Source organism: Homo sapiens, chromosome 10 (assembly GCF_000001405.40).
Source record: "Homo sapiens chromosome 10, GRCh38.p14 Primary Assembly".
Lineage (NCBI taxonomy): Eukaryota > Metazoa > Chordata > Mammalia > Primates > Hominidae > Homo > Homo sapiens.
The window spans coordinates 88,090,091-88,104,928 of NC_000010.11; the positions used below are offsets into that span (position 1 = coordinate 88,090,091).

General features: G+C 40.0%; 1 long non-coding RNA gene across 1 annotated transcript in view, besides 1 other annotated feature; it reads right to left on the reverse strand.

Annotated features, from left to right (window-relative positions):
* LOC105378415 (uncharacterized) overlaps positions 1–14,303 on the reverse strand; it is a 31,664-nt gene extending 17,361 nt beyond the window's left edge. Inside the window, exon 1 of the long non-coding RNA XR_007062225.1 lies at positions 14,223–14,303. This is a non-coding gene — a long non-coding RNA (uncharacterized LOC105378415). The remainder of the gene's footprint in view (positions 1–14,222) is intronic.
* Positions 1,705–1,754: an enhancer, noted in NCBI's record as "active region_3718". NCBI's record gives its function as "activates an Ori minimal core promoter by ATAC-STARR-seq in GM12878 lymphoblastoid cells {active_cell/tissue: GM12878}" and the evidence as "EXISTENCE:reporter gene assay evidence [ECO:0000049][PMID:35858748]".
* Positions 14,304–14,838: the final 535 nt, after the last annotated feature.

Below are 14,838 nucleotides of genomic sequence, written 5' to 3' on the forward strand. Positions count from 1 at the left end.
TTCATGGTGGTCAGCAGAAGAAGACATGACTATGTGCTAAAGTGGACATGAGATCAAAGCTTCATGAAAGAGGGAGAATTTGGTGTGGGACTTAAAGGAAGTCCAGGGTTTAGAGAAGTGGAGATGAGAGTTAGAAAATGTCAGGCAGACAAGACAGTTCAGGTAGAGGCTCTAGAGGTGGAAAGGAGATGTGCAAGAAGTAATACTGGTAAATATTGCAAAGGAAGAATCAAAAAGCACAAAAAAGTAGGAAAAGAGAGGAAAGGCAGGAGACATTTTAAACTTGTAAAGATAGATTATTGGCAAAATGATTGTCATTAGCTGAAGTGGGGATTTCTGGAAGAGTCATTAGTTTTGGGGGAAATGACTTTGGGAGTTGCTAAATTGAAGGATGAGAATGCATGTATGAAGGGAGTCTAGTCCAGGAGGGAAATCAAGACATATTTGGTAGTTCCAGTCTCCTGAAAACTCAGGTACCAAATGTCATGCACAGTGACTGGAGAGACATATTTGGAAGTCAGTTTCAAGGCCCAGTAAAATGATATGACTGGATGAGATCTCCAAAGATGGAGCAGCAGAAAACCACTGTCTGAATCTTGCTTGTGCACACGCGTCAGGGGGTGGAAGGAGGAAGTGGACACAGCAGATGTGGCGTACTGGCTTGCGTGGTCGTAGTAGGGTTAAAAGGTTCCCAACAGAAAAGGGAGGAGAGAGAGCCAAAGTGGAGCACTGTTGCCTTCTGGATTGCCACTGAGAAGCTGAGAAGGAGCACTGAGAATAAGCCACTGAACACCGCAACTAGAAGTCTTTGGTGGCTCTTGAGAAAGCAATTTCAGTAGTGAGCGCATCAGTTTAGCAGGTGTTTGGAGTGAATGGTAATGAAATAAATAGAGGACACATAGACCAGTGGTTTTTTGAACTTGGCTTGAACACTGTAATCACCTGGAGGGTTTTTAAAAATTACAAATTCCTAGACCTCACATCAGACCTTATGAGTCAAATCTTTAGTTGACAGGCCTAGGAAACTGAGTTTTTGCAGATGACTTAGATGAAGCCAGTTTATAGTCAGCATTTGTGAACCCACTGGGAGGTAATAAAAGATGAGAAATAGGAGACACTTGAGGGGACGGTAGGGTTGAGGAAGTTTTCTGGGTAGTATTTTTTTCTTGTTTCTTTTTAGAAAACAGGAGACTCAAGCTCCTTTTCCAGGCAGTGAAGATATGAGTGAGACCAAGTATCCTCATGGAGAAATCAGCTCTAGGAAATAGGAGAGGGACCTCCAAGCCAGGTGGGTGAAATCAGGCCTGGGAAGAGATAGATGGCAAGGTGGTAGGAGGTGGAGATTAAAGTGAGAATTCAAGGAAGTGAAGGCAACTCCTGCAATCTTTCCAAATTAAGCTTTGTGTAGTCTTTGAAGAGTGATTCAATTCACCTAAGAACCTTGCATATTCCTCCTTATGACTTTGTTGAGCATATTACATGGCACTTTCATAATGCCAGCTACCCAGGAAATGCAGGTTATGAAAGCTTAGAATTATGAAATGACACAGGTTGTGTGGTTAAACATGAGCTTATCTTTTGAAAGTTTCTATTTCACAGCTTCTGAGGGGATGCACTGTGCATGACTTTTGGTACCTGAGTTTTCAGGAGACTGGAACTGAAAGGAAGAATTCACCAACTACCTGTTTTAGCCCCAGGCAGCATCATCAGAGTCATGCTTGGAGGTGGAAGGGAACACCCTTGTGGCTGGGCCCACAGAACATGTTGAAAACGAGTTCTCAGTATTGTGGCAGGAAGTATTGGGTCACGAGTCGCAACTCACACCTTTCTATAGCTGGCTGTCTCAGCTCTTTGTGAAATCTGGGTCTGAAATCACCTCCTTCTCCCTTCTTCCCTGTGTCTGCACAGTCCAACTGCCCTTTGTGGATTATCTTTGCATCTCGTGAAGCACATACCTAGCATGTTCTTATGATAGCAGTGTGGTCCAGATAGTGAATAACAACCACTACAGCCTATTGAACTCTTATTCTGTGCATTTTATCTAGCCCTTCTTCTGGAATGTGCCTCTGCAAAACTTCTGTTTTAACATCTGTGACAATTAAGTGATTTTTTTCATATTATAAAAAACAATACAACAAATATTAATAACAGTGCTCATTGTATGCCAGGCACTGTTTTAAGTATTTTATGTATCTTGATGCACTTAAACTTCAGAACCACCCTGTGATGTAGTTATTCTGATCCCCATTTTACAGATGAGGGAATTGGAGCTCAGCGAGCAGACATGTGGCTCCAAAATCATATAGCTAATGAGTGATGGGTCAGTGTACTGATACCGAAGCCAGAGCTGTTAACTCATAAATGATGAAATAGATTGAAATGTAGTTCACTAGAAGGGGAAGACATCTTTAGGAATTTGCTATTGATTCAGGTTGCTCCCTGATTTTTTAGCACAAGCGTGGCAAGGCATTCTTCCAATAACCTCAGCTGAAATGCCTGCTTGGAGGACTCAGGTGCTCCATCTTCATCACGTATGTGCTGCTTGGGTTTAGAAAAGCCAGGTGGATCAGTCCCTGAAGCCTGTAATACTTTCCATCATCTCACAGAACACAAGAGTGAGGCTGACCCTCTGCCTACATCTCAGAAAACCTGAGGGACAGAGAGGTCATTTATTTACTCCTTCAACAAATAGTCCATTTCTTGCACACCTCTCTGTGACTTGTCCTGTGTTTGTGGTGTAGAAACAGAGGCATGGGGTGCAGTCCCAGGAGAGGGTGCTCGCAGGAGCACAGAGAAGACTACTCAGGGTGATCCACCCATGCCAGATGGACATACATAGGAGGGCCCTAACCCAGGTAGTGAGATGAGCATGTGTTAGTTTTGTGAACTGAAGCTTATCCCCGATATAGAGTGAAACCTTAGATTGCAGACTTTCAGGATTCAAGGTAGGAGGATGGTACATTCCCATGACGGTAGGCTACAGGGGTGCTGTGACTGTGATTTCTCTCTTGCCCATGGAGAAAAGTGTGACAAGGGCAACAGCCCTGACAACTGCTTGGTGAGAGGAGAGCATGATTATCTGGCACTGTGCCAGCAGTGCTGTGCGAGCTGGGGACTGAGGATCAGGCTGACCTTGATTGGAGGTCTTCCCCACGATTTGCTAGCCGGGTGACTTTAGGCAAGGTATTTGCCACTCTGAACCTCAGTTTCTTTATTTATAGAGATGGAGACAAGAATACCTACCTTACTGGGTTGTTGGGAGAATTCATGAGCCAATGAACATAAAGTATTCAGCATTCCTTCTAACAAATGCTCAGGAGAGACTGTAGCTAACACTCAGCCAGTGCTTACCAAAGGCCAGGCACTGTCCTGTGCCAGTGGTTCTCAACTAGGGGGTGATTTTGCCCCCAGAGGACATTGGGCAATATCTGGAGACATTTTTGATTCTCATGATTGGGAGGGAGGGTGCTGCAGATTTCTAGTGGGTAGAGGCCGGGGATGCCGCTAAACATCCTGCAATGCTCAGGACAGCTCTCCACAACAAACACTCACACCATGCAAATGTCCATAGTGCCCAACTTGGAAACTGTTCTTCGTATGTGTTAACACAAAAAATCCTCATAGGAACGCATGTGGGAGTACCATCTTTATTTTCCTGGTTTAGATCAGGAAATATTAGACAGTCCATTAAATGACTTGGAAATTAAATAGCATACTCAAGCACAAGCAGCTAGAGTAAGAGCCAGGATTTGAACCCTAGCAATCTTGCTCCAGAGTTCTTATGTTTAACCAGTTACCCTAGGTGAACTCTTGTAGGAGTGAGTCAAAAGGCAGTGTGTATGGGATATCGAGAGGCTTCCCTTTCTCCATGCCAGCCATTCTTAAACTCCTGTGAGCATCAGATGACTTGAAGAGCAGGCTAGAAATACAGATCCCAGGGCTCCACACCCAAGTGATTCTGATGCAGCTGCATTTGGGACTCTTACACTAGCCCTCAGGAAAGTTTCCACACATAATAGCAGCATGATACCAGACTTAGAGTCTTGGAGGTTGTTTTCTGAATCTCAATTTTTCAAAAAATACTATATGTAGAGCTTAACATAGTTTTAGAATGCTGTCTAAGAAAAACAAGTATAAGACAAATGCTTTTGAGGCTGGGGAATCACAATGTCTCCTTCAAGAGGACCCTCCAGTTATCTTGGTTTGCTCCTAGACCCTTTTTTTCATATGAGGACGGGACAGTTGCACGTGGCTGCTTTCCCATCACCTCAAGTGCTCAAAGCTGGACTTGTTATACCTTCTTTTCCTCACTCTCACACTTGCTCTTGATAATATTGTCCTCACTGCTGTCTCAGTTAGCCAATTACACAGGCCCTGAGCCCAAAGCACCTTGGAATTTGCCTTCCTTCCACTATGCAGCCAATCTTTAACGTCTTAAAATTCTTCTTTCAACACATTTCTCACGTTGATCATGAACTTCCTGGTTTTGTTCTTTATCACCCAGGCTTAGACTATTGTAGTAACCTCCTACCTGGGCTGCCATCCTCAACTCTTTCCTCCAATACGTCCAGCCAGGCAAATCATCTGAAAATTCAATTTTATTTTGTTTATGCATTCACTGATGTAGTCACAGGTATTTATTGAGCACTCCTCTGTGCTAGGCTCTGTCCTGTGCACACAAAGATGAATTTGACCCTATCAAGTCCCTGTCTTACTCGGAGTCTCCAGCTCCTTATACCATCACAACTGCCCTCCTACCCCACCCCACATTTCTCTGCACAGCTTCTCAGCTCTACTCATTACCCACTGGCTTGTCTTTGCTCATTACTACCTCTACAGCTTTGTCATGTTCTTCTCTACCCAAGGCATGCTTTCTCTCTTATCCATATGTCTAACTTCTATTCATCCTTCAAAACCCAGATCAAATCATGTTTCCTCAATAAATTCTTTCCTGAACATTCTTTCCCAGGACAATTTCTTCTGTCCCATGGTCTTATAGTATCTAATGTCACTATTATTTTTGGAACTGCTACTTATGCACACATGGATTCATTTTTTTGCATGTCTGGTAGGAGAAAAGGGGTTGCTGTTTGGAGCAGTTTATGGTAAAGGATTTAGCCACTCTGGGCAGCATGGTAGATGTAGACACAAAATAGGCGTCATTCTGCCAATTGTAGTTTTAAATTCCTGTGGATGGACCTCAGAGGCCAGATCTGTAGGCTACGTGTCTGGCTTACCCACTTGGACCAAGTGCTGCTACTCAGAATGGCCCAAACCCACAGAGGCCTTAGTTAGTATCTGTGTCTGGCAATAATTCCAAGAATTTCTGAATTTGCCTGTCAGTGAGTCTTCCCAGAGTTCTGTTAGCTAAACAGAAAGAGGAATGCTTTAGCAATAGCTCATATTTATGGAGTGTTTACGATGCATTGGACACTGTGTTAAGTACTTTACATGCATCAGCTTGTTCAACCCTCACAGTAACCACATAAAGTAGAGATTATTCATTTCATTTTGGATGTGAAGAAATGGAGGCTAAGAGTTAAGTCACTTGCCTAAGTTCACACGGCTGGTAGCAGGTGCAGTCACGGGAACCCAGGCCTTTCTCTTCCTACTGTTATCTTTTAACCCTTCTATGCATTCAAGGGTCAGCTACAAAAATATCAGGGACACCCAAGGCTTTCTGATTTTTAAATGAACCCTGGAACTTGTGGTATCCGTCATCTGAAAAGCTTTGTATTGAAATAAGGCTTATTTTAGAGACGACATGGTTCTAGCCGAAAAGATGTTAAGTCATATTCAGAAAAAAAAAAGATTTAAAATAACAGCTGCTTTGTCATAACCCCCTTCTATCCTCAAAGCCCGGCTCTGGGCAACCGATAAGATACTGTGTACAAGGGCACATGCATGACGTTTTCTAGGAAAACTGGTGGGTGAAAGGCTTCCTGAGAAATTTCACACTGGAAATAAACACTCTTGTAGGGTATGTTTCAAGGAAGATCTTGAAATCTTTTCTTCTGGGTACATGACTCTTGCCCTTTGTTTATAGTTGTCATTAGTTCAGGTGGTCTGAAATGCCTGATGTTGAAAATATTTGCCATTTCGAATTTCCCTTTGGCCGTGAGGGGGTGAAGGGACATCTCCTAGGCTTATAAAGGACAGAATCACATGACTTAGAGAGATGGAATTTGTACCCATTGGCAGAGGTACGGGTCTTTATGGATTTAAAGTGTGTCTATTTACAGAAGCAACCCTGATAGGGATAGTGGTTTCATAATTTTTAAAATGTGCTTTTATTTTTTTTAATAAAAATACAGATTTTGAGAAGCAAATAGCTGACATAAAGTGAGCCAACATTTTAGTCCCCCCTCCCCCGCCACCCCCCCAAAAAAAAGCAGAAAAGAATGAAGGTCTTGGTGATTCTCAATATTATATCTTTTCTTTGGAGTCAGTTATATTTTGGTAACAGTTCTTATTAAAATAATAGCAGACACCATTCTTAATAAAACTTTTTTAAAGCTGGATGAGTCCCTAAGGGAATTGCTAATGGTAAGAAGTATAAAAAATACTTCACTGAACCTGTTTTTAAATTCTCTAATGTTTAAATTCTCCTACTCTCTCAACATGCAGCTTCTCCCAGAAGAATGCCTCACCTTTAAAATTTGTCTTAATAATATGAAATATCAAGTCACTTTTACTCTTCATTTTTAATTTTAACATTAAATACGCCTTTTCCCTCTCATAGTTTTTACAGTTAATATACTTGGAATTATGTTGGAGAAATGTAATTTTGGTTTTATTTCTTTCAGAATTCGCTAATGTAAAAAATGCATTTTGAAAAATATTAGACTTACTGAGAGGTCAAATTTTTTCTTCAGTTTTTCAGAAGATGGAAGCAGTGGAATAGAATACTATTCTTCCCCAACTTGCATTAGGTGTTAAATAGCACTCTTTTTCTACTTTCCTGTTTACTTGTCGTATCTTTCCATCTATCACTCTTAGTTTGTGACTTCTATTATCAAGGATACCTCATGGTCTAAGAAGGCTGCTGAAGCTCCAGTCATTATTTTGGAGGTCTAGTTGGGCAATAGGAAGGAGAACTTCCTGAAGGACCTATTAATAACTTCTGCTTAGATCCCATTGGCCACCGCTGGCTGATGTGATGTGATGTGATGTGGATGATGTGATGTAATGTAATGTAATATATTTTTTCAGCTGGGAACATTGCCCAAGATTCTGTAGGTAAGAATAAAGAAAGAATGGATTACCAACGGAAGTCTCTGTCACAATGTCTGTGCTTTAGTCTGGCAAAGCTAAATTAAGCTGCAGCAACAAAGTAACCCCCAAATCCTGGTGACCTGATGCAACAAAGACATCTTTCTTGTTCATGAATTGCCTGATGTAAACCCAGTGGCTCTCCAGTGTAGTTCTCCAAGTGATGACTACCTCCTTTTAAGGTCCCTGCTTCTCAGCAGTGGCTTCTGGGATGCTAAGGTAAGAGAAGATAAAACTGGAGAGTCTCACAAAAGCTTTTCACTGCCCCAGACTGGAAATGACACACAGCACTTCTACTTACAGCTCTTTGGCCAAATCTAGTCTTGGAGTCCTTCCCAACTGCAATGGGCCTAGGAAGTATCATCTTCCTTGTGCCCAGGAAAGATCCTGTGATGATGACTTCTCTGTTTATGTAATTGAGTTCTATTTCCAAACTAAGACAATTATGTTACATAGATTCTGAAGCAATATAATATCCTGTTTTCAGCAACCTTTCACTAAGTGGTTACTACTTGCCAATGCATGGTGTCAGATGCTAGGGGAACAGACATGAAAAAGACACCAAGTCCCTTTCAAGGAACTTATTGATTAATAAAGGAGACATAAGCACACCTGAAGAATAATAAGGACAATAATAAAGTAAAAATAAGGTGCTATGGAGATTGAAGTTTGGGAAGATTTCTTCTAGTTGATGCCCAAGGAAAGGTTTCTGGAGGAGGTGATATTTAAAAGGGGTCTTGAAAGACTGGTAGAATTAACCTAGGTGATGTGGTTCAATCAACAGTGTCTCCTTCAAGAACTTTTCTGAATTAGTAGATATGTTGGGCTAAAATTTCAGTGCTGTCGGTGCCTAGCTATTTGATCTTGAACAAGTTTTTCTCCTCTGTAAGATGAGAGAGTTGGTGAAAATGGTCTCTATTCTCTCTTTCATCTCTGATAGTCTATCATTCTTCAATTTTTTAATTAACATTCTGAAAGCTTGGTACAGACAAAAAAAACTTTCAAAACAAAAATACATTTGATGCTTATTGAATACACTTAGAAAACAGAGAAAAGTAAAAGAGAAATCTTAATATCAGGCAATATTCACTCTCATTCACTCATTTTATTGCAGTTTCTTCTGGAATTTTTCATACATAGATTTAAATATTTTGCTTTAGTTTGTTTTGAACACAGTTGACATATAGAGCATAGGCTATACTAGAGCACTCTTTTTTTTTTTTTTTGAGATGAAGTCTTACTCACTCTGTTGCCCAGGCTAGAGCGCAGCGGTGAGACTTCAGCTCACTGCAACCTCCGCCTCCTGGGTTCAAGCAATTCTCCTGCCTCAGTCTCTTGAGTAGCTGAGATTATAGGCATGCGCCACCATGCCCGGCTAATTTTTAGTAGAGGTAGGCTTTCATCATGTTGGCCAGGCTGGCCTCGAACTCCTGATCTCAAGTGATCCGCCCACCTCATCCTCCTAAAGTGCTGGGATTACAGGCATGAACCACCACGCCCAGCCTAGAGCACTCTTTATTCTCTTAGTGAACTATAATGATTATCTCTTCAATGTTATTTCTCCTCTGTTAGAAACATCAGAAAGTATGTTAAGTATGATATTCAGGTTCATTTCTATGCCTCTGTTTGATGACAAGCTATTTAAGTGACAAGTGTTCCTCATGTACTAGTGAAACTTAGAAAAATAGAAAAGTATTGTAGTAACTTTAATCTTTGATAGCAGGCATCAGATTGCTTTTATTATAGTATGTTTTTTAAAACTTATACCTCACATTTGTTGAACACCAGTTATATGGCAGCAACTATTGTAAGTGCTTTGGGTAGATGACTTATTTACTGCTCCCAGTAGCAAATATTATTTTTCCCATTTTGCAGATGAGAAAACTGCAACTTAGAGAGATTGCATAACTTGCTTAGGGTCTCATAACTAGAAAAGTGACTGAACCAGTATCCACGTTTAGTTTCTGTGTTTTCGGAGTCTGCATAACCACTGCATGGTACTATCTGTCTCTATTGCAAGTGACAGAATCTGAACTTAAGCCAAAAGTGCTGCTATTTAAGATTCTAGAAAATCTTAGATTTTCTAGTGCTAGTTTCCAGGAAAAAAAAAAAAATGCTGCCATAGTTATAGCCCAGAGATAGTTCTTTCTTTAGGAAGGGCAGAATCCAGGTTTCCACTTGGTGTCCCTTTTGCCCATTTTTATCTTGCTCACCATTTTTTGTCCTTGCTCTTCCCTGTGTTGCATTGGTATAGAGTGTCTTACAGGTGGGATCTCTTGCCATGGTATTCCTGGCAGCTTCTCACAGCTGTGACTCAAGTGACAGGAGAGCTTTCTTTCCCAAAGTGCCCAGTATAAATTTGGGGTGGAGTCTCATTGGCCGGCTTTTCTAGGGGGCTATCCTCGAGCCAATCACAGTGGTGGGGGATAGAATATCTTGACTAATCAAACTTGAGTCACATGACCACCCTTTGAGTTGGTAGAGCAGTGGACTGGTAAATTTCAGCTCTGTCCATGTTTTATGGACTGAGAGCAGTGGGTGTTCCTCCAAAGGAAAAGTGAGGCTTTTTTTTTTTTTTTTTTTGATCAAAAGAAGGCAGAATGAGTGCTCGGTAGACAAAACCAATCGCTGTCCCCCACGCTGCCTCTGCAATTTCTCCCCACGAAGATATTTTTCCCCTGGCCTCCAAAGAACTTACACTTTGCCATGTGGTGCTACCTCCCAAGAACTCTTCACTTATGTCTTAGAAAAATAAATACACAGCCAATTTGCAGATTATACCTTCCTTAGTTCTGCTATAAATTATATGACTTGTTTTTGGCAAAGCCTGAAGTCAAAGCTGGCTTCTTCCCCCTCCTCCTCACCAGCTCAAAGAATGAGTGGCATTCACTGAGGTTGTATACAGAAGGATGAATTTGCCCACCTGAAGGGGATAGCTAAATTTATGGGAAGAATTGCAACTTTTCAAATAGTTCCAAGCATTAAGGCCAAGATGAGGAGCCTATGGGCAAGTAGGAAATTCTTTTTTTTTTTTTTTTTTCTATTGAACCCAGGCCAAACCTTCACTTATGGTATTTATGAAATCTGTGAATCTGGAGGAAACTCATTATGGTCACCTTAGCCACATTAAAATTCCAACAGTTTCTCAGCATATCCCACACAGTTTGAAAACAGCATAATGTATAGAGTTCTGGCAAAAGCTGATGAAAGAGGCAGTGGGAAAACACAACACTGGAAATCAAGAAGTGTGGGTTCTAGGCTCAGCTCTGGCCCTAACCAGCAGGGTGGTCTCAGGCTGGTCCCTTTGTGTTTCTGAGTCTTTGTTTCCTCCTCTATAAATTAAGGATTCAGTTTCTACGGGTTATTATGTGCTGAGAAACCATACCCCAGCTCAGATATTCCCTGAAAACAGAACTCACTGGGGCTTTGGAACTTCTCTCTAGAGATAAACAAATCTTGTGTCAAATCCTTTCGATATTGTTATTCCAAATCTTTTTGGAATTTTTACTCCTGGCTGTGATTTGCCTGCTTAGTACTATGCTCTTCTCTCTATAAATATACTGTATAGATTTGCTTTCACTATTTAAGAATGTGCAGTTGATTTTATTTTGAGAACCTTAAAAAGAGTTCAAGACTTTAATTGATATAACTGAAAGCATCTCAAACTTTGAGAATTCCCAATTCAAATCATTCATTGAGTAAAACTCTTTTGAGAATATTCTCAAGGCTTAAGTACTCTGTAGTCAAGCTTCCTGGTGCTTATTCAGTTTTTAGTTGGGCCACTATGTTGGGTTTTTTGATTCCTTATGAAAAGTCTGGGTGGCTTTCCTGCTATTTCCCAAAATGAATGCATTTTAAAAATCTTGTTTGTTAGAAAATTGAATGTGGGCTTTTCATATGTATACATTCATTCATCACTTATTGAGTGCATATTAGCTACTAGGTATTGTGAAAAGAATAAAGTTAGTAGCACAAATTTAAATAGCTCTGGCAAAAGAAGGCTCTTTTGAAAGTAGAGGCATAATTGGACACTAATTTCTTGAATGCTGATTCAGTGAAGCATAATTCACTTGTTACTACTAACTTCCCTTTTCTTACAGCCTGTTATACTTAAATTTTTGTTTACATTGTGATATAATTCAAATAACATAAAACTCATCATTTAAAAATGTGCACTTTAGTGGCTTTTAGTTTATTCACTAAATTAGTTTAGTTTGTGCAATCATCCCTACTGATTCCAGAACATTTCTGCCACCCCAAAAAGAAACCCCATACCCATTAGTAGTTAGTTCTGATCCCCACTCTCCCATCCCTTGACAACATGCATCTACTTTCTGTCCCTATGAATTTGCCTATTTTGGACATTCATATAATGAAATCATGTAATATATGATGTGTTATATCTGTGGTGTCTGGCTTCTTTCACTTAGCATGTTTTCAAGGTTCATCTATGTAGCAGGTAATTGTATTTCATTCCTTTTCATTGCCAAGTAATATTCCACTGTAAGAATATACTACATATTGTTTATCCATTCATCACTAGATGGACAATTGAGTTATTTCCACTTTTTGGCTATTATGAATAATGCTGCTATGAACATTTGGGTACACGTTTTTACGTGAACATATGTTTTCAATTCTCTAGGTATATACCTAGTATTGAAACTGCTGAGTTATTTGATAATTCTATGTTTTTTGTTTTGTTTTGTTTTGTTTAACATTTTGAGGAACTGTCAAACTGTTTTTTCCAAAGTGGCTGTACTATACCAGTTTATATTCCCATCATATATATAATAAAAATTAAATATTTGTAACTTCTCCAGGACTTAGGATAGTTTTCTTCCCAGTTTACTGATGATTTCAGTAAGGCAATAAACTGAAAAATGGTTTGCCAGAGACCAGATCCTTGGTTTATTCATTTCTTCAGTATTCATTGAGCCTCTATTTTGTTTCCAGTATTGTTTCTAGTACTGTGGTTACAGAGATAAATGAAACATGTTGTCTATGAGACACTGAGTCTTAAGTCTGTAAAATTTCTTTTGGAATCTTTAAAAATGGCAAAGACTCCCACTTGTGTGACTTGGTTTAGGTGGCATCTGCCCAGAACCAAAGGATGAACTGGATCAAATATCTGTCAGTACTGAACGAGTTTCTAATGGTGATCCTTAAATGTAGATCCAACTTCCTATTCTACATGATAAACTATCAATTTATATTTTATTTTCTTAACAGGGAAAATGTGTGAGCATCTGGCATTCGCTGTTTCTCTGAAACAATTTTATCATGAAATCATCTAATCCCAGGAATTTGGGAATAAGTGTATAACTTAAGTGGAGATAAAATAATAGTCCTGGGCCGTTGTATGATTCTTCACCTTTTCTAGAGTCATATTGTGTATGTTACCCTGTCCCGTGTCTCATTTGACCACAGTCCTGTAAGGTAGGCCAGGAAAGCACACATTATTTCCATTTCATGGATGATAACTGAACCTCAGAGTAATTTGCCCCAGGTCACAAGAAGGAGCCAGAAGGAGACACCTTGCTAAAGCAGTCATTCCCATATACTATTCCTTGGAGTGGCGCCAGTATTGGATAGCATTTTCACTGATGCATGAGGAAATGAAAAAGAAAGGGCAAGGCAGTGAGGTTTTTCACATCACTACATTTATTCAATTTTAAGAACAGTCTTTTATTCCAAAATTAAGTCTGTTTTATTTTTATGTTGGTAAAATGTCTCTTTTCTTTACTGAAATGTGGTGATAGTGGATAGTAACTTTTCCTTATTTTAATTTTTATTTGGCAAGACAAAATATTGGCAATCTCTATTAAAAATATATATATATACCATTCCATGAAATCTGCCTCAGAAGGGTCAGGCCTGGTTCAATCTTTCCTGGTTAATCACGTTGTATTTTCTTGTGAGCACTCTGCCCTAGGTAAAGTAGAAATTATGTTCTCTTCCAGACATGGCCATCTTTCACATGTGCCTGTGTCACACACGACCTTAACATCCAGTCTCCTGGTTTTAGCTAAACCCTCTTGGACCGCTATATTTCACAGATTCACAGATCGGTGGGAAAATATATAACCATGCAGGCAGAATGACTTATTCAGTCCTTCAGTTTCTAATTGTGAGTAAATATGTCTTACTGTTGGCTTTGTTAATTATTCTCATGACTTTTTGGAGCAGGGCTTGGGTATGATTTTTTTCTAGTAAAGTGCAATTGGCTTGTATTTGAAAGGATGTAGTAATTATTAATTTTATGCATAGATCTCTTTCTAGTGGAAAGCAAGACTTGAACCAGCTAGGTTAATTAACTTGCCCACATAACCTACTAATGTGAGGAACTAGAAGTGGAAAGACTTCTACTCCTAAATATTACTCATCAACTTCAAAGTGTAATCATGGGACCTGCATGCAAATCACCAATGGAAAAAATCCACTAGACTTTTGAGAAACATTGAGCAAAAATATGTAGTAGGATTGGAGCCTTCTGAAGTCCCCCTTGGTTGCTCCCCAGGGTTCATGTGAGGGAAGAAGGGGTTCCTGAGTGCCAGATACCCCCTACACTAAAGGACATTCAGAAGTGTTAGGTGAAGTGGGTTGCTACCCTCAAATAAGTTTGGAGAAAGAGAAAATTACACAAAATAAATTCTATTATGTAAAGTAGGAATTTGAATTTAATTTGTTACAGTGTATTGTAAATACCTAAGAGTAAGAAAGGTGCAACACTCCTCAACCTTTTGGTCTACAGAATCACCCCATTTTCCCAGTTGCTCCTCCTTGCTTCTTTCAGATGTCTCAGAACTAGACTTCTGCAGAAGGTACTGCTTTAAGTGTGTTCTCACTACCTCCTTATTTGAGTCTCATAACAGCCCTATGGGTGGTAAAATTTTCATTCCCATTTTACAGATGAAGAACCCAAGGCACAGAAAGGTTAAGAAACTTACCCAAAGTCACACAATGGCAAGGCTTGTATTCAAACCAGGCTCTTGGCATCTGAGGTAGTCTGAGAGCTCCTGCGCTGTGCTGCCTGCTATTGCAAAACAGTTCTCTTCTTTGTTGTCTTCTTTTTTCTTGATGACAGTGCGTTGCCTCATGTAAACAAAGTTAGTAATCTAACTAGAAAATAAACTGAGACTTTCACTATCCTCTGTGTGTTGGTGAATCCATTGCAGGTGTGATGGGAAGACCATGAATTTGGAGTGAAACATATCTGAGCCCACCTTGTTTTCCCAGCCACTTCTCCTGGTGTAAATTTGACTAGTTAGTTAACTCTAGGAGCCACAACTAATTCTTTGTACATTAGAGACAATAATGCTGTGACCCATCTTTTAAAGGAGTTGGCCTGGGAATATAAGTAAAGGCTTGGGGAGAGGACGGTTCATGGCCCACACCATAGGCTCTGCAAGGATATGTTTGTTATCTTTCCCTCTGTCCCACCCACCACCACCCTCTCCTACTCAGATGCTCATGTATGCTTGTTTTTCTCAAATGCTATGGATTTCCCCCCCGACTTATACTCACCTGCAACTTTATACAGAAACAAGAGTTATGGGGAAACCC